Source organism: Homo sapiens, chromosome 2 (assembly GCF_000001405.40).
Source record: "Homo sapiens chromosome 2, GRCh38.p14 Primary Assembly".
Classification (NCBI taxonomy): Eukaryota; Metazoa; Chordata; class Mammalia; order Primates; family Hominidae; genus Homo; species Homo sapiens.
In genome coordinates, this window is record NC_000002.12 from 122,045,806 (window position 1) to 122,065,517 (window position 19,712).

The following is a 19,712-nucleotide window of genomic DNA, read 5'->3' on the forward strand; positions in this document are numbered from 1 at the left end:
AATTTAGTTGGCCTTTTATGCCTGTTCTAAACAGGACCAATGTAGGGGGACCCCAGTTCTCCCATCTGACTGGTCTCCACTTTGTCTTCACTGTAAAACCTTCTCAGCTTCTGAGTCACCTTCTATGACTTTGTTCATCCGTTTTCCACCCAGAATGCCCTACGCAGTTCTTTAGAAACATTTTTTTTAAAAAAATCTCATTTCAAAAGCTTGTTAACAAAAGTCAGAAAATACAGACATGTGCAAAGGATTTTAAAATATTCATAACCATATCCACCTAATTTCTGTTAACATACTGATGCATAGCCTTCCAGATCTCCTGTGCACATGTGTGCATGCACACACAGACACACACACTAATAACATCACACCATAATATACATATTGTTTCATAATCTGTTTTTTTTTTATTATACTTTAAGTTTTAGGGTACATGTGCACATTGTGCAGGTTAGTTACATATGTATACATGTGCCATGCTGGTGCGCTGCACCCACTAACTCGTCATCTAGCATTAGGTATATCTCCCAATGCTATCCCTCCCCCCGCTACCCCACAATAGTCCCCAGATTGTGATGTTCCCCTTCCTGCGTCCATGTGTTCTCATTGTTCAGTTCCCACCTATGAGTGAGAATATGCGGTATTTGGTTTTTAGTTCTTGCGATAGTTTACTGAGAATGATGATTTCCAATTTCATCCATGTCCCTACAAAGGACATGAACTCATCATTTTTTATGACTGCATAGTATTCCATGGTGTATATGTGCCACATTTTCTTAATCCAGTCTATCATTGTTGGACATTTGGGTTGGTTCCAAGTCTTTGCTATTGTGAATAGTGCCGCAATAAACATACGTGTTCATGTGTCTTTATAGCAGCATGATTTATAGTCCTTTGGGTATATACCCAGTAATGGGATGGCTGGGTCAAATGGTATTTCCAGTTCTAGATCCCTGAGGAATCGCCACACTGACTTCCACAGTGGTTGAACTAGTTTACAGTCCCACCAACAGTGTAAAAGTGTTCCTGTTTCTCCACATCCTCTCCAGCACCTGTTGTTTCCTGACTTTTTAATGATTGCCATTCTAACTGGTGTGAGATGGTATCTCATTGTGGTTTTGATTTGCATTTCTCTGATGGCCAGTGATGATGAGCATTTTTTCATGTGTCTGTTGGCTGCATAAATGTCTTCTTTTGAGAAGTGTCTGTTCATGTCCTTCACCCACTTTTTGATGGGGTTGTTTGTTTTTTTCTTGTAAATTTGTTTGAGTTCATTGTAGATTCTGGATATTAGCCCTTTGTCAGATGAGTAGGTTGCGAAAATTTTCTCCCATTCTGTAGGTTGCCTGTTCACTCTGATGGTAGTTTCTTTTGCTGTGCAGAAGCTCCTTAGTTTAATTAGATCCCATTTGTCAATTTTGTCTTTTGTTGCCATTGCTTTTGGTGTTTTAGACATGAAGTCCTTGCCCCTGCCTATGTCCTGAATGGTAATACCTAGGTTTTCTTCTAGGGTTTTTATGGTTTTAGGTCTAACGTTTAAGTCTTTAATCCATCTTGAATTGATTTTTGTATAAGGTGTAAGGAAGGGATCCAGTTTCAGCTTTCTACATATGGCTAGCCAGTTTTCCCAGCACCATTTATTAAATAGGGAATCCTTTCCCCATTGCTTGTTTTTCTCAGGTTTGTCAAAGATCAGATAGTTGTAGATATGCGGCGTTATTTCAGAGGGCTCTGTTCTGTTCCATTGATCTATATCTCTGTTTTGGTACCAGTACCATGCTGTTTTGGTTACTATAGCCTTGTAGTATAGTCTGAAGTCAGGTAGTGTGATTCCTCCAGCTTTGTTCTTTTGGCTTAGGATTGACTTGGCAATGCGGGCTCTTTTTTGGTTCCATATGAACTTTAAAGTAGTTTTTTCCAATTCTGTGAAGAAAGTCATTGGTAGCTTGATGGGGATGGCATTGAATCTGTAAATTACCTTGGGCAGTATGGCCATTTTCACGATATTGATTCTTCCTATCCATGAGCATGGAATGTTCTTCCATTTGTTTGTATCCTCGTTTATTTCCTTGAGCAGTGGTTTGTAGTTCTCCTTGAAGAGGTCCTTCACATCCCTTGTAAGTTGGATTCCTAGGTATTTTATTCTCTTTGAAGCAATTGTGAATGGGAGTTCACTCATGATTTGGCTCTCTGTTTATCTGTTGTTGGTGTATAAGAATGCTTGTGATTTTTGTACATTGATTTTGTATCCTGAGACTTTGCTGAAGTTGCTTATCAGCTTAAGGAGATTTTGGGCTGAGACAATGGGGTTTTCTAGATATACAATCATGTCGTCTGCAAACAGGGACAATTTGACTTCCTCTTTTCCTAATTGAATACCCTTTGTTTCCTTCTCCTGCCTAATTGCCCTGGCCAGAACTTCCAACACTATGTTGAATAGGAGTGGTGAGAGAGGGCATCCCTGTCTTGTGCCAGTTTTCAAAGGGAATGCTTCCAGTTTTTTCCCATTCAGTATGATATTGGCTGTGGGTTTGTCATAGATAGTTCTTATTATTTTGAAATACGTCCCATCAATACCTAATTTATTGAGAGTTTTTAGCATGAAGGGTTGTTGAATTTTGTCAAAGGCTTTTTCTGCATCTATTGAGATAATCATGTGGTTTTTGTCTTTGGCTCTGTTTATATGCTGGATTACATTTATTGATTTGCGTATATTGAGCCAGCCTTGCATCCCAGGGATGAAGCCAACTTGATCATGGTGGATAAGCTTTTTGATGTGCTGCTGGATTCGTTTTGCCAGTATTTTATTGAGGATTTTTGCATCAATGTTCATCAAGGATATTGGTCTAAAATTCTCTTTTTTGGTTGTATCTCTGCCCGGCTTTGGTATCAGAATGATGCTGGCCTCATAAAATGAGTTAGGGAGGATTCCCTCTTTTTCTATTGATTGGAATAGTCTCAGAAGGAATGGTACCAGTTCCTCCTTGTACCTGTGGTAGAATTCGGCTGTGAATCCATCTGGTCCTGGACTCTTTTTGGTTGGTAAGCTATTGATTATTGCCACAATTTCAGCTCCTGTTATTGGTCTATTCAGAGATTCAACTTCTTCCTGGTTTAGTCTTGGGAGAGTGTATGTGTCGAGGAATGTATCCATTTCTTCTAGATTTTCTAGTTTATTTGCGTAGAGGTGTTTGTAGTATTCTCTGATGGTAGTTTGTATTTCTGTGGGATCGGTGGTGATATCCCCTTTATCATTTTTTATTGCGTCTATTTGATTCTTCTCTTTTCTTCTTTATTAGTCTTGCTAGCAGTCTATCAATTTTGTTGATCCTTTCAAAAAACCAGCTCCTGGATTCATTAATTTTTTGAAGGGTTTTTTGTGTCTCTATTTCCTTCAGTTCTGCTCTGATTTTAGTTATTTCTTGCCTTCTGCTAGCTTTTGAATGTGTTTGCTCTTGCTTTTCTAGTTCTTTTAATTGTGATGTTAGGGTGTCAATTTTGGATCTTTCCTGCTTTCTCTTGTGGGCATTTAGTGCTATAAATTTCCCTCTACACACTGCTTTGAATGTGTCCCAGAGATTCTGGTATGTTGTGTCTTTGTTCTCGTTGGTTTCAAAGAACATCTTTATTTCTGCCTTCATTTCGTTATGAACCCAGTAGTCATTCAGGAACCCAGTAGTCATTCAGGAACAGGTTGTTCAGTTTCCATGTAGTTGAGCGGTTTTGAGTGAGATTCTTAATCCTGAATTCTAGTTTGATTGCACTGTGGTCTGAGAGATAGTTGGTTATAATTTCTGTTCTTTTACATTTGCTGAGGAGAGCTTTACTTCCAAGTATGTGGTCAATTTTGGAATAGGTGTGGTGTGGTGCTGAAAAAAATGTATATTCTGTTGATTTGGGGTGGAGAGTTCTGTAGATGTCTATTAGGTACACTTGGTGCAGAGCTGAGTTCAATTCCTGGGTATCCTTGTTGACTTTCTGTCTCATTGATCTGTCTAATGTTGATAGTGGGTTGTTAAAATCTCCCATTATTAATGTGTGGGAGTCTAAGTCTCTTTGTAGGTCACTCAGGACTTGCTTTATGAATCTTGGTGCTCCTGTATTGGGTGCATATATATTTAGGATAGTTAGCTGTTCTTGTTGAATTGATCCCTTTACCATTATGTAATGGCCTTCTTTGTCTCTTTTGATCTTTGTTGGTTTAAAGTCTGTTTTATCAGAGACTAGGATTGCAACCCCTGCCTTTTTTTGTTTTCCATTGGCTTGGTAGATCTTCCTCCATCCTTTTATTTTGAGCCTATGTGTGTCTCTGCACGTGAGATGGGTTTCCTGAATACAGCACACTGATGGGTCTTGACTCTTTATCCAATTTGCCGGTCTGTGTCTTTTAATTGGAGCATTTAGTCCATTTACATTTAAAGTTAATATTGTTATGTTTGAATTTGATCCTGTCATTATGATGTTAGCTGGTTATTTTGCTTGTTAGTTGATGCAGTTTCTTCCTAGTCTCGATGGTCTTTACATTTTGGCATGATTTTGCAGCGGCTGGTACCGGTTGTTCCTTTCCATGTTTAGTGCTTCCTTCAGGAGCTCTTTTAGGGCAGGCCTGGTGGTGACAAAATCTCTCAGCATTTGCTTGTCTGTAAAGTATTTTATTTCTCCTTCACTTATGAAGCTTAGTTTGGCTGGATATGAAATTCTGGGTTGAAAATTCTTTTCTTTAAGAATGTTGAATATTGGCCCCCACTCTCTTCTGGCTTGTAGGGTTTCTGCCGAGAGATCTGCTCTTAGTCTGATGGGCTTCCCTTTGAGGGTAACCCGACCTTTCTCTCTGGCTGCCCTTAACATTTTTTCCTTCATTTCAACTTTGGTGAATCTGACAATTATGTGTCTTGGAGTTTCTCTTCTCAAGGAGTATCTTTGTGGCGTTCTCTGTATTTCCTGAATCTGAACGTTGGCCTGCCTTGCTAGATTGGGGAAGTTCTCCTGGATAATATCCTGCAGAGTGTTTTCCAACTTGGTTCCATTCTCCCCATCACTTTCAGGTACACCAATCAGACGTAGATTTGGTCTTTTCACATAGTCCCATATTTCTTGGAGGCTTTGCTCATTTCTTTTTATTCTTTTTTCTCTAAACTTCCCTTCTCGCTTCATTTCATTCATTTCATCTTCCATCGCTGATACCCTTTCTTCCAGTTGATCGCATCGGCTCCTGAGGCTTCTGCATTCTTCACGTAGTTCTCGAGCCTTGGTTTTCAGCTCCATCAGCTCCTTTAAGCACTTCTCTGTGTTGGTTATTCTAGTTATACATTCTTCTAAATTTTTTTCAAAGTTTTCAACTTCTTTGCCTTTGGTTTGAATGTCCTCCCGTAGCTCAGAGTAATTTGTTCGTCTGAAGCCTTCTTCTCTCAGCTCGTCAAAGTCATTCTCCATCCAGCTTTGTTCCGTTGCTGGTGAGGAACTGCGTTCCTTTGGAGGAAGAGAGGCGCTCTGCGTTTTAGAGTTTCCAGTTTTTCTGTTCTGTTTTTTCCCCATCTTTGTGGTTTTATCTACTTTTGGTCTTTGATGATGGTGATGTACAGATGGGTTTTTGGTGTGGATGTCCTTTCTGTTTGTTAGTTTTCCTTCTAACAGACAGGACCCTCAGCTGCAGGTCTGTTGGAATACCCTGCCGTGTGAGGTGTCAGTGTGCCCCTGCTGGGGGGTGCCTCCCAGTTAGGCTGCTCGGGGGTCAGGGGTGAGGGACCCACTTGAGGAGGCAGTCTGCCCGTTCTCAGATCTCCAGCTGCGTGCTGGGAGAACCACTGCTCTCTTCAAAGCTGTCAGACAGGGACATTTAAGTCTGCAGAGGTTACTGCTGTCTTTTTGTTTGTCTGTGCCCTGCCCCCAGAGGTGGAGCCTACAGAGGCAGGCAGGCCTCCTTGAGCTGTGGTGGGCTCCACCCAGTTTGAGCTTCCGGGCTGCTTTGTTTACCTAAGCAAGCCTGGGCAATGGCGGGCGCCCCTCCCCCAGCCTCGCTGCCGCCTTGCAGTTTGATCTCAGACTGCTGTGCTAGCAATCAGCGAGACTCCGTGGGCGTAGGACCCTTGGAGCCAGGTGCGGGATATAATCTCGTGGTGCGCCGTTTTTTAAGCCCGTCGGAAAAGCGCAGTATTCGGGTGGGAGTGACCCGATTTTCCAGGTGCCGTCCATCACCCCTTTCTTTGACTCAGAAAGGGAACTCCCTGACCCCTTGCGCTTCCGAAGTGAGGCAATGCCTCGCCCTGCTTCGGCTTTTGCACGGTGCGCTGCACCCACTGACCTGCGCCCACTGTCTGGCACTCCCTAGTGAGATGAACCCGGTACCTCACATGGAAATGGAGAAATTACCCGTCTTCTGCGTCGCTCACGCTGGGAGCTGTAGACCGGAGCTGTTCCTATTTGGCCATCTTGCCATTTTTCCCCATAATCTGTTTTTTGGTACTTAAGATGGTAGGATAATACCATCTTCTCATATTGATAAATATTTCTATAAGGTGTTTTTAGTGTTTGCTTACATCTGTTGTGCACATAGTTTATTTAACTAACCCTCCTCTGTTTGGCAATGTGGATTATTTCCAACTTTTATTTGTAATAAAAAACTGCACTGCAGTGATCTTCCTTATGATTAAATTTCTGTACCCATCCTTAATTATCTTTTTAGGATGAATTTCCAGAGGGCGAATTGCACTTCACATCTAACTCTTTCAATGCTTAGTGTCAAGCTGCCCTGCAGAGAGGTTCTGCAGATGTGTGCATGCTCATCAGTGTACACCAGTGCCCATTTCCTTGCACCCTTGGCAACACCAGATATTGCTATTTTAAATTAAATACCTTTTTAAAATTTTTTTCTATTTTTTAATTTTTTTAAAAATTTAAGTTCTGGGATACATGTGCAGAACGTGCAGGCTTGTTACATAGGTATACATGTGCCATGGTGGTTTGCTGCACCTATCAACCCGTCATCTAGGTTTTAAGCCCCACATGCATCAGGTATTTGTCCTAATGCCCTCCCTTCCCTTTCCCCCACCACCTGACAGGCCCCAGTGTGTGATGTTTCCCTCCTTGTGTCCATGTGTTCTTATTGTTCAACTCCCACTTACGAGTGAAAACATGTGGTGTTTGGTTTTCTGTTCCTGTGTTAGTTTGCTGAGAATGATGGTTTCCAGCTTCATCCACGTCCCTGCAAAGGACATGAACTCATTCTTTTTATGGCTGCATGGTATTCCATGGTATATATGTGTCACATTTTCTTTGTTCAGTCTATCATTGATGAGCATTTGGGTTGGTTCCAAGTCTTTGCTTTCAATTAAATGCCTTTTTACTTTTAATTTGAAACATGCTGTCATTTCTTCAATTTGCCTTTCTTTGGTAACTACTAGTTGATTATTTTTCATATGTCCTTATGGATTTGTGTTTCTTCTTTTGGAAATTTATTGTTCATTTCTATTCCTTTTCTATTGGAGGTTTTGTCTTTTTTACACTGAGGGAGGTGAGTCACAATCTTTTTTTTATGTCCCCACCTCCATGACATTGCTAAATACCCAGCCATAGGCAACCTTATACTTATTTTACTTTTAGGATCTTCCTGTTTGATACCTTATAGCCTTTCTTTCTCAACTTGATCGAAAGCTCCTTGAAGGCAGGATCATGTGTTCAGTAGTTAAACTGCGTGATTCAACATCATCATCGCAGGAATGTGCCATTCAGAGTAGCTGAGGTTTTGCCTTTGAAGCATGAGATCTCATGAGCTACCGAGAAACATCTCATGTTTTTCACGAGGGGTTTTCCTCATTCCTCCTCAACCACATGGCATAGGACAGCCTTGGGACTGAAGAGCCTTTCAAGATCCTCTGAGGTTCAGCTAATGATTTGCTCCGAAGCTATTCTTTCTTGAGGCACTTGTTCACTCCCTGTCTTTTCTGCTGCTAGAACATTTCTATTCCATGCATTCATTGATCAGACTTCAGCTCACAGCCTACTTGTTGATAGCATCGTGTTGTGTGCTGGGGGCTCCCTTGTCTTTAAGGGACATGCTCTTTGCCTCCTGAGGATTGTGGTTTAGTGGAGACAGACACCTGGGGCAGGGAGCAAGGCAAGGGCAGAGGGTTGAGGGGGCTCTGGGGTGGTGAAGGAAGGCATCCCACATGACTTCAGCAGTCAACTGGTGTTTTATTGCAGTATTTGGCACATCTTACCACTCTCCTGTCTTGACGTCCTCCCTTCCCTTGCCTCCTGAGATGTCACACTCTTCAGGTCCCCTTTCTTAGTCTCCATGCAGGAGACTCTTTGTCTCTTTGCAGAATCATCCTTCTATATGAGGTCAGCAAGTGCAGGAGCTCCCCTTCTCATCCTTTTCCCTCTTCCGCCCTCCTGTCCCCTCCGTCCTCTCTTTTCTTCCTTCTCCTTTCGCCTCCTCTAGTTTCCTTTCTGTCTTGTTTTCTTCTCTTACTTCTCCTTCCTCTTCTCTTCTTTTTCTCTCTTTCCTGGCAAATGTCTTCCACATCTATGGCTTAAATTACCAAGTGTATATCCAGTCCATACCTTGCCCCTGAGCTCCAAGCTCGCACGTCAGACTGCTTACTCTGACTGTCTGTCATACCTCAAACTCAACACAGCCAAGGCTGAACTTCAGAGCTTCCTTCACAACCTGGCCTCTTCCAGCGTTCAGTAATATCCATCTAATTATGCACATCAACAATCTAGATGCTATCCGTTCTACCTCCCTTTCCTTCCACCTTTAAATCCTTTCCATCTCCATGTCTGGTCGATATTTCTGGAATACATCATTCTCTCCCACCCCACCATCACTACCCTAGTCCAAGCTGCCAACGTTTCTCCCTGACATCTGTAAGGCCTCCTACTTAGTCACTACCCTCACTCTGGCACCTCTCCCACTGTCCTCCACTCTGGGCCTTCAATACTATTTTTAATGCAAATCGTGTCATGGCACAGACCTTGCTTACCATCCCCCTTGGCGACCCCTCACTCTCAGCGTAATGACCCACAGCCTTTGCCTGATCTGCAAGGCCTGGTCTGGTCCCTACCTGCCCTCAGACCTTGTGCTTCTCATTCTCCATGCTTGTTAGCAGTCACTGTACCGCCATGCTCTGCCTTGACACAGGGCCTCTTCCTGGGTGTCCCTTGGTTGACCACCTGCCTGTGACCATCAGCTCCTACCCAGTCTCCAGCTCACAGAGCAGAAGACATTGCTTCTCAGAAGCATTTCAGACCCCAGCCCAGGATAGTTTCATTTTAAAAATATATTCTCATGGTGCCATATCCCTTCCTCCTAGGGCACTCAATCGACTTGTAATTATACATTCAATCTTGTGGCCTCTACTTTAAAGCCTCCCTCCTCCTGGACGGTGAGCAGATTCCATCTAGTTGCTGCCCAATGTGCTGGCCCTATCTCTTAGCACAGGGCTGTAGGGTACAGGAGATGCTGGCCAAATGGATGGGTGTCTGGTCCACGCCACCAGCTTCATCTCATCCTACCCTATTCTATGTGCTCCAGCTAGGAAATGGGGTACACAGGGCTGAGGGGGTGAGACTGCCTGAAGGAGAAGTCATCAGTGTACTGTTTGCAGGCTTCAGATAAAAGCCTATATTCACAATGGTTTCTAAAGAGTTGGGTTGTTTGTTTTCTTTGGAAATTAATTTATCTGTGAGAGTTGCAGCATCCTATAAACCCTAAGGGATGGTGATTATCTGCTAATTAACTTTGCTGATTAATGGTTAACTGGCATTTGACTTCGTTGTGAAACTCCTAAGCCCACCCACTTGCCTTTGTGTCGTCATATCTGCTTTTGGGAAGATTTCCCTGACTTATTTCCTGCTTTGATCATACACTGTCTCCTGCAGAGCCAAATTTGGAGAAGACGTTTCTTCTTCAGGGTGGTCTTGCTCACACATTTCATACATCAGGAAGTGACAGGCATGAAACCCGCCCCCTGCCCCCTCCTTTCCCCCACCAGCCCCACTGGGTTTCCTCCACTAGCTTTCCTGCTCCTAACTTGGGTGAATGATCTCTGTTTACTTGTGTGAAAGTCAGAGGTGTTAAGGAAAATTATCTAACACTTGCAAATAAGGGGAAAAGATGACTGAATATATTTTCAGTGTCATGCTAATGCAGTGCTTCTCCAAGTATGGGCTGAAACACTAGGGAATCCCAAAACCCTTTCAGGAGCTCGGTAAGGTCAAAACTAGTTCTTAATAACAGGAAGATGTTACTTGCCTTTTTCACTATGTTGACATTTGCACACTGATACAAAACCAACAGTGGGTAAAACTGCTTGTGCCTTGGTACAAATCAGGGTAGGGCAGGAAACTTTGCTATTAGTCGTTGTATACTTCCCCTACCACCACCTCTCAGCAAAAAAAAAACAAAAAAAAACAAAACAACAACAAAACCCAGTTTCACTGACAAAACCAGTGGTGATATTAATGAATTTTTGGAAATAGTATAATGAAGTATGTCAACATGTGGAAGATCTTCACAATTCAATGGACTGATATTTTCTAAGTACTCATTGTGAGACAATCACACATGGGTAAGAGATCCATTTAAAGTGTAAGATAGACCCGCGGATTTTATTCTAACAGAGTACAAAAGTCCACTGATATGGCTTTAAGTTGCATGTTGCAAGTCACCTGTAGAAACTACCACTTGTCCGGTGGTACTTTAGAGAAGTATCAAATAAAACAATCCACAGTTATCCAAAAATGCTATTAAAATATCCCTCCTCCCTGTTTCAATAACATGTCTTTGAGAGGCTGGATTTCCTTCACAGGCTTCAACCAAAACAACATATTGTAACAGGTTGAACGCAGGAGCAGCTACGAGAATCCAGCTGTCTCCTATTAAACTAGACATTAAAGAGATTTACAAAGATGTAGAACATTCCTACTCTTCTCACTAAACTTTTTTTTTTTTTTGAAAATGTAGTTAGCTTTCATAAAAGCATTTTGTTTATGGCAAATTATAGTAGGTTTATTATTGCTATTTAAAAATGAATAAAAACATTTTAAAATGTTTCTAAGTTTTAATTTTTACTATAGCAAATATCGATAGATGTGACTCACATCAGCAAAGCTCTTTGGGGCTTTAATTCATTTAAAAAGTTATTTAAAAGGGTAAAGAGATACTGAGACCAAAAAAGCATGAGAACCACTGTGCTGGAACATTTTTTAACAAGTCAGCTTAAGGATTATCTTCTCTAGTGATGAAACTTTGTTTGCACAATGATTAGGACTCAAACATTACTCAGTTCTGTAAAACTGGTAAGATGTGACAATTTAGCTGTCAGTTTGAAAAGATAACCCTGAAAGTTATGGTTTTATTATCCTATAAGGAATTAATCAGTTTTATTTTTTTTTTGTCTAACTTAGCAATCTTGTCTCAACATTTCTTTCTTTTCCATTGAGCGTGAAAGATCACTTTTACATATTCTGTTTGGAACCAGACGTGCCTTTCTGCTGGATCCTTCATTAATCGGTTAAATAGAACTTTGACGTGTGCTTACTATTGGTGTGAAAATTGTGTTTGTTAAATACATTATGAGAGTTTCATTTGGACAAGGGACAAGGGTGGAAATGCTGGTGGAACTTCCTCTCCTGCCTCAGTTTCTCAGTATGCACATTGGAAAGAACATCAGCCTTGGAGACACCGTGAGAGCCCAGGTCTGGCCACTTCTGGCCGTGTGGCCCTCTGCTGTTGTCTGATCTCTGAGATTCAGCTGTCTCCCCATGCTCTGGGGATTACAGGGCCAATTGCCTAGAGTTGTGATGAGGACTCAGTGAAGCACATATGTAAAGCACCCAGCAGAATACCCCATCTTGTCAAAGCCACAGAAACCCAGCGGGTATTAGTTTGCTGCAGCTGCCATAACAAAGTACCACAGACTGGGTGGCTTAAACAAAAAAATGTATTTCCTCACTGTTCAGGAAGCTGGAGGCCCACAATCAGGGGGTCAGCAGTGTTGGTTTTCTCTTAGGGCCATCATGGAAAGACCCATTTCAGGCCTCTCTCCTTGGCTTGCAGATGCCACCCTGTTGCTGTGCCTGCATGGCCTTTTCTCTGTGCACACGTGCCCCTGGTGTCTCTACAGGTGTCCAAATGTCCTTTTCTTATAAGGATGCCGGTCAGATTGGATCAGGGTCCATCCTAACAGCCTCATTTTATCTAGTTACCTCTCTAAAGTTCCTATCTCCAAGGGCAGTTGCATTGTGAGGTACTGGTGGTTAGGGCTTTGACATATGAATTTTGGAGGGATGTGATTCAGCCCATGACACCAGGTAACTTAACTATTACAATACAAGCATGTAGCAACCAACCTGAGCACCTCACCAGTGTTTGACTCTAAACAGCATTTCACTCACGGGTTGGGCGTGCTCTTGTGTTGGGGCTCAGCTGTAGGCTGGAGAGGCGATCCCAACTTGGGTTTCCCATATTTCTTCGGGTTGGCTGGTTGTTATCTCATCTATGCTGGGATGACTGAAATGACTGGGCTCTCCTCCCCTGTGTCTTATCTTCCAGCAAGCTGGTTGGGCCACGTCCTTCACTGGTCCTACAGTTAATTTGTCCACTGGATTTCCTTTAAGGACTTCGGGAACAGCCTAGCAAGGAGAGGACAGCATTCATTCTGGGCTTTTGAGATCTGCTGCTTAAATGTTCCTTTAAGCACCCTCACAGACACAAGGTGATGGCACAGGGCACACCAGACCAAGTTCAGGGTGCACAGAGATTTAAAGCCTCTGCTTGCGCCATGCCCCTCTACCTCACATTGGCTCAAGCCAGTCATACAGCCAAGTCCCGAGTCAGAGAAGGAGGGCCCTGCAAAGGCATCCAGCAGAGGATGGGGCTGTGTGTGGCAGGTGGGGGGAGAAAAGCATCCATTAATGCCATCAGCTACCACAGGCCCATAGCTCACAGCTCTCCTAAACCCTTCTTAAATCTATCTGAATTCTATTTGCTTCTGTCTTATAAAAATGGTGAAGGAAATAAGTGCTTATCAAGTTTCAACTCTACACTACACATTTTGTTATACTATACCACTTAATTCAGAGTGGTCCAACCTGTGGCCCATGGGATGCATTCGGCCTAGGATGGCTTTGAATGTGGCCCAACACACATTCGTAAACTTTCTTAAAACATTATGAGATTTTTTTGCAATTTTTTTTTTTAGCTCATCAGCTATTGTTAGTGTTAGTGTATTTTATGTGTGGCCCAAGACAATTCTTTTTCCAGTGTGGCCCAGGGAAGCCAAAAGATTGGACACCATTGATTTAATTCTCCCCTCAGCCCCAGGAAGTAGGCATTATTATCCACCTTTAACAGATGAGAAACTGAGGCTCAGACAAGTTAAATAACTCATTCCAAGTGACTCTGTGTATTAATCAGGGTTCTTTTAGAGGGACAGAACTAATAGGATATATATATATATATATATATACACACACACACACACATATATATATACACAGAACTAATAGGATATATATGTATATATACAGATATATAGGATATATATGTATATATACAGATATATAGGATATATATATGTATATGTACAGATATATAGGATATATATATGTATATGTACAGATATATAGGATATATATATGTATATGTACAGATATATAGGATATATATATGTATATGTACAGATATATAGGATATATATATGTATATGTACAGATATATAGGATATATATATGTATATGTACAGATATATAGGATATATATATGTATATGTACAGATATATAGGATATATATATGTATATGTACAGATATATAGGATATATATATGTATATGTACAGATATATAGGATATATATATGTATATGTACAGATATATAGGATATATATATGTATATGTACAGATATATAGGATATATATATGTATATGTACAGATATATAGGATATATATATGTATATGTACAGATATATAGGATATATATATGTATATGTACAGATATATAGGATATATATATGTATATGTACAGATATATAGGATATATATATGTATATGTACAGATATATAGGATATATATATGTATATGTACAGATATATAGGATATATATATGTATATGTACAGATATATAGGATATATATATGTATATGTACAGATATATAGGATATATATATGTATATGTACAGATATATAGGATATATATATGTATATGTACAGATATATAGGATATATATATGTATATGTACAGATATATAGGATATATATATGTATATGTACAGATATATAGGATATATATATGTATATCCTATTAGTTCTGTGATAGGATATATATATACACACACATACACACACACATATATATACACACACATATATATGTGTGTGTATATATATATATAAATAGGATATATATATCCTATTCTGTGTGTGTATATATATATCTCCATATATATATATCTGTATATATATATTCCTTTAAAATTGACCCATTTTCTTTCAGACTTTTATTATTGACATCAAAGCTGGCTTATGAGTGCTTTAGATATGAAAGATTTCTATCTCAACATACTGTTAGGATATGATATATATGATCTATCATATCCTAACATATATATGTATATATGGAGATATATATGGATATATATATATATGGAGATATATATGGAGATATATATGGATATATATATATGGGTGTGTGTGTGTGTGTGTGTGTGTGTGTGTATATATATATATATATATATATATATATATATATATGAGTTTATTAAGTATTAACTTACACGATCACAAGGTCCCACAATAGGCTGTCTGCAAGCTGAGGAGCAAGGAGAGCCAGTCCGAGTCCCAAAACTGCAGAACTTGGAGTTTGATGTTCGAGGGCAGGAAGCATCTAGCACGGGAGTAAGATGTAGGCTGGGAAGCTCGGCCCATCTTGTCCTTTTCACGTTTTTCTGCCTGCTTTATATTCGCTGGCAGCTGATTAGATCGTGCCCATCAGATTAAGGATGGGTCTACCTTCCCCCACCCCCTTACTCAAATGTTAATCTATTTTGGCAACACTCTCACAGACACACCCAAGATCAATACTTTGTGTCCTTCAGTCCAATCAAGTTGACACTCAGTATTAACCATCACACTCTGCTCAGACGAATTTCTAAAACCTAGATCTGTGTGACTGCAAAGAGCTTTTTCCCTCATCAGAGCTTTCTAAACCTTTCCATCAAAATTACTCTACAGGCAGAGGAAAGTGAATTCATATCCCTAGGGTGCCTGAGGGCTACTGCCCAAATTGCCCATCACAATATGAAAATTCTTCATAGTTGTAAATTTTATCTTAAAAATGAATATAAATTTGGCATTTGACTCTATAAGATAGATTTCAAATAGAAAAATCCCTGGTATTTTTAAGCATGATATATGCTCCTGGAGTACATGCATGTGTATGGGGCATTTCTCGGTACCTCTGGCACACAGCTGCATCCCTCAGAAACTTGCCCAGCTCAGTCTGGGAAGCATGACATGGCACCAAGCATCCTGTCTGGAACAATGAAATGAAATTGAACGGCAGGGTTTGCCTGGTTGTTAATATGCCCCATTGCAAATGGATGTGACAGATTTTTGGCACCACCTGTCACATTTTTGACATTCCCAGATACTTCACTGGTTCTACAGTTAATTTGTCCACTGGGTTTCCTTTAAGGACTTTGGGAACAGCCTAGCAAGGAGAGGACAGCATTGATTCTGGGCTTTTGAGATCTGCTGCTTAAATATTCCTTTAAAATTGACCCATTTTCTTTCAGACTTTTATTACTTACTGACATCAAAGCTGGCTTATGAGTGCTTTAGATGTGAAAGATTTCTATCTCAACATACCGTTAGGATACGATATTGTCTGTGCCATCAGGGAGCTCAGTTTCCTGTTAACATTAATATTCGAGATTACCTTGTGACCCCAAGGTAGAGCTGGAATTTGAGGTGGAAAAATTTTATATTTTTGGGCTTCGAGGCAATAGGTAAATGAGTCTCTGATTAGAATCTCGAGCCTCTGATTAGATGGTGATGAGAGAAACATGGACTCCTTAAGTCTTTCAGAAATGGGGTTCTTGTTATATCCTGAGACCATGGAATAAGTATTAGCATTAGGGGATTCAGCTCCAAATCTGTGGTTTATAGTAGACTCATCTGGTGCCCAAATTGCATCCTTTTATCTCCCTTTTGAGTTCAGCCATTGCCAGATGGATAGTGCAATGCTGGCTTTGGTTCTTTTTGTGCTGATGGTGTCTGGCCTCAAGCATGCTTCCCTTGATTTGGCTTTCTGCTTTAGGGCTCTTTCAATAGTGGAGTAGTAGAAGCATGCACAGCCAATGTGTGCAGAAGTACAGGCAGTTAAAACCTCCCAGGACAATCCTGCGGGACAGCACCTCATGGACAAATGCTCCTGTTTCTCCTCCTTTGGCAGATAACCCTGGGGGTCATTCTGTGCACTGCTGAGGGGGCCTTTTGGAATATGAGCTTTGGTTGCCCATAGCAGTGACCTTGGTGATGGCCCCTACTGCTGGCTTTTCATTCCTGCCTCACTCTCCCTAGCTGCTGCTTCCTGGGATCACCGCATGCATCACCACCTGCACCCAGGCCTTTGTCTCAAGCTCCATTCTCTAGGGAGAACAGGCTAAGACACTGTCCTCTCTGGCTTGGTTTCTTTGGGCAAGTTTCTTCACTTCTCTGGTCTTGCTCAGTTGTCTCACCTATCCGAGGGCTATTGATTGCTGAAGTCCCTTCCAGTTCTGGAACTCTATGGCTCTATTTGACTGTTTCATCTTTCCTGGGGATATCCTTCTTTCCTTTATTCATTCATAAGCCAACCCTTTGACATTCCAGTTGGCTGGTTTTTAAATTTCGGATGAGTCACTTTAACGCCTAGGTGCTGGAGAATGTTGAGAAGCATTATCCCTCCCTTGGTGACCTTTTCTTTTCTGTGTAGGACACTCATTGCATTGCATTTTTGAAACAAAAGGCAGGCATCCTTTTTAATCTGACTTTAGTGCCAAGACACTGATGCCCGCTGTGGGGCTCATAACCAAATATTTCATACTGACAATTTTTCTCTCTTCTTTTTTTCTAAAAAAATCCTACCTCTTTTCCATTTGGTTTTGATTAATGAAAGGCTGCCCATGGTCAGCTTTGCATTTCTGCCTCCGTTCCCCCAGCTCCCATCACGTAGAGAAGATCACACAATCATTTGAAGATCCTTTGCTGTAGCTTTGTGACCTGTGTAAATGATGATGTTGAGAAGGAGTGGTGGTAGGGAGAGACTCACTTCATTTTCATCTTTTACTGAACATTTTCTGAATCATAGGAATCCACCCTAATTCCTGATGCTACAAATTATTGTATTGGGCCCCAAATGATGTGTCCAGCTTGCAGGAAATGGTGCCGTTTATCAAGTACATGTGCTAGACCATAGACTAGGCATTTTACCTAAATCCTCACAGTAACCCTGCAAGAAGCGTATGTTGTCCTCATTTTGACTAGCAGGGAAACTGAAGCACATTTCATCGACTCTAGTACTCTAGTGCTTACTTGTACTCAGGTGTTGCTTAATAAATATTTACTGAAGAAATGAATGAATGAGGCTTAGAAGATTTTGCTAGGTGGCCTAGCTGGCTGAGATTTAAACCCATGTCTGGCTGTGTGCTAACCCTGTCTTCCCATGAGGGCACCTGTTTTGCTTCACAGAGTGTCTACACTGTCCAGTCATTCTCACCACTGCCCTTGTGAGCCAAGAACCTTTCTGCATTGGTACACTACATTGGTTCACATGTCTCTATCAGCCCCCAATGTCTCCTTTCTGTTTATCCAATTGCTTGCCTTCCTTCAAAGTCAGATGTTGGTTACAAACAAACACACACACGCACACACACACACACACACATACACACGGGGAGAGAGAGAGAGAAAGAGAGAGAGAGAACAGTGGAGATTATACTGCATCTATAATCTGGTAATATTTTCGCTTGGCACAAAGTAATGTAAATTCTGTAAATACCACCCTTTAGGGTGCTGTGTGTGGGATGGCAGGGTGGATCAGGATTTTGGGTTGACTCACAAGTCATTCTACTGGAATGCTAGTAAACAGCTAAAGGGCTCAGGTTCAGAGAGCTGGCTCTAGTCCAATTTCTGACTCTGTCATTAGAAAGTCAACCTCCCCAAACCTTAATATTTTCACTTGCAAACTGAGGGAATTGGCCCCCTCAATTTCAATTCCCTTACATGCTAAGTTATTTGATTCTGTGAAATCGAGAGCAATGAAATGAATAATGATCACAATGTCCATTTATAGAACAAGCTTTGCCCTTAACAGGTGCTCACTACAGTGCCATGTTGATCACAGCTTCTGTTGGAGGAAGGCAGGGCCACGTTGACCTCCAGAGCTGTACCATGACACCACTCCTGGCTAATTTTTGTATTTTTAGTGGAGAAATGGTTTCACCATGTTGGTCAGGCTGGTCTTGAACTGCTGACCTCGTAATCTGCCCACCTTGGCCTCCCAAAGTGCTGGGATTACAGGCGTGAGCCACCGAGCCCTGCCGTAAATGCATTTTAATTTAAGTTGAAGTTGTCTGGGTTATCAGTGATGTGTAGACAGACTGCTATCCATGAAAAGGCTGATTCATGTCTAAAACACTCTCAATTCTAAGGTGCAGCCCTTTGTCGTACCTCCTATCCCAAACTGAAAAGTGTTTACTTGTATTTTCTCCCTTGAAAGACACCAGGTTATAATTTTGTTCCCCTAGTTCCACAACACTTTGAAAAGTACAGCTCAGTCTTTTAGCTACCTCATCTTGACCAGAAAATACTTCATAGCAAAAGCAACCTTGAGTGCTGGTCTCAGCTCTCAGGGTTCCAGCCCTTTACTGGATCTCAACCAAATAATCCTCACTATCTTGTTAGTGGATTGATGCTTTCAAGAAAATTTTTTTCTTTGTCTTTTGACTAGCTTTTTAAATGGTCTTTAATGGGAAGATTAGTCTTGCCTGGTTCACCCTTGCTGGAAATAGAAACTTACTGTGTGTCTTCAAGCAAATTACTTAATCTTTCTGAGCCTTAGTTTTCTAATAGCATTATTACTTTTTAAAACTATTGTTTTGGGTGACAGTTCTCACTGATACAGCTCTTTAGCATCTGTTCTTAGATCTCTATTATAACACGTTCCCAGAAAGAAATTAACATTTTCTTCTTGAATGGCAACTTTGGCATTAGCAACAAGTCATGGGGCCAAGACTAGTGAGATACTCCACTGAGCATTTTATTCTTGTGTTTTTATTCTTGTTTTATTTATGTGTTTGTTTTATTCTTGTGTTTTTGTGGAATCCATAATGCGGATGAACACGCTTTTATTTTTTTTTTTCTTCTCCATTATGCTTCCAAAGACTTGAACATGGCATTTTGTGCAATGCATGTGAGTGGGAGATGACACCCTTGCTCAGCCATTGAGGTGGGAATTGTTAGTAAATTACATTTGGCTGCTCCACAGATGAGATGGAAGCAACAATACGAGTAGGTATCTACTTGTATAATATAATGCATGTTGGGATTAAAGCATGATCCCATTTGCACAAGTTGAAAGGTTAAATATGATACACATTTTGATGTGATAAGGCAGGTCAAGCTTGTAAATAATTTTCTTCAAACTTGATGATTTAAAAAAAAATCACA

General features: G+C 40.9%; 1 long non-coding RNA gene across 6 annotated transcripts in view; it reads left to right on the forward strand.

The window, feature by feature from the left end:
* Window positions 1-19,712, forward strand: part of LOC105373592 (uncharacterized) — a 530,486-nt gene that overhangs the window by 143,353 nt on the left and 367,421 nt on the right. The window lies entirely within an intron of this gene.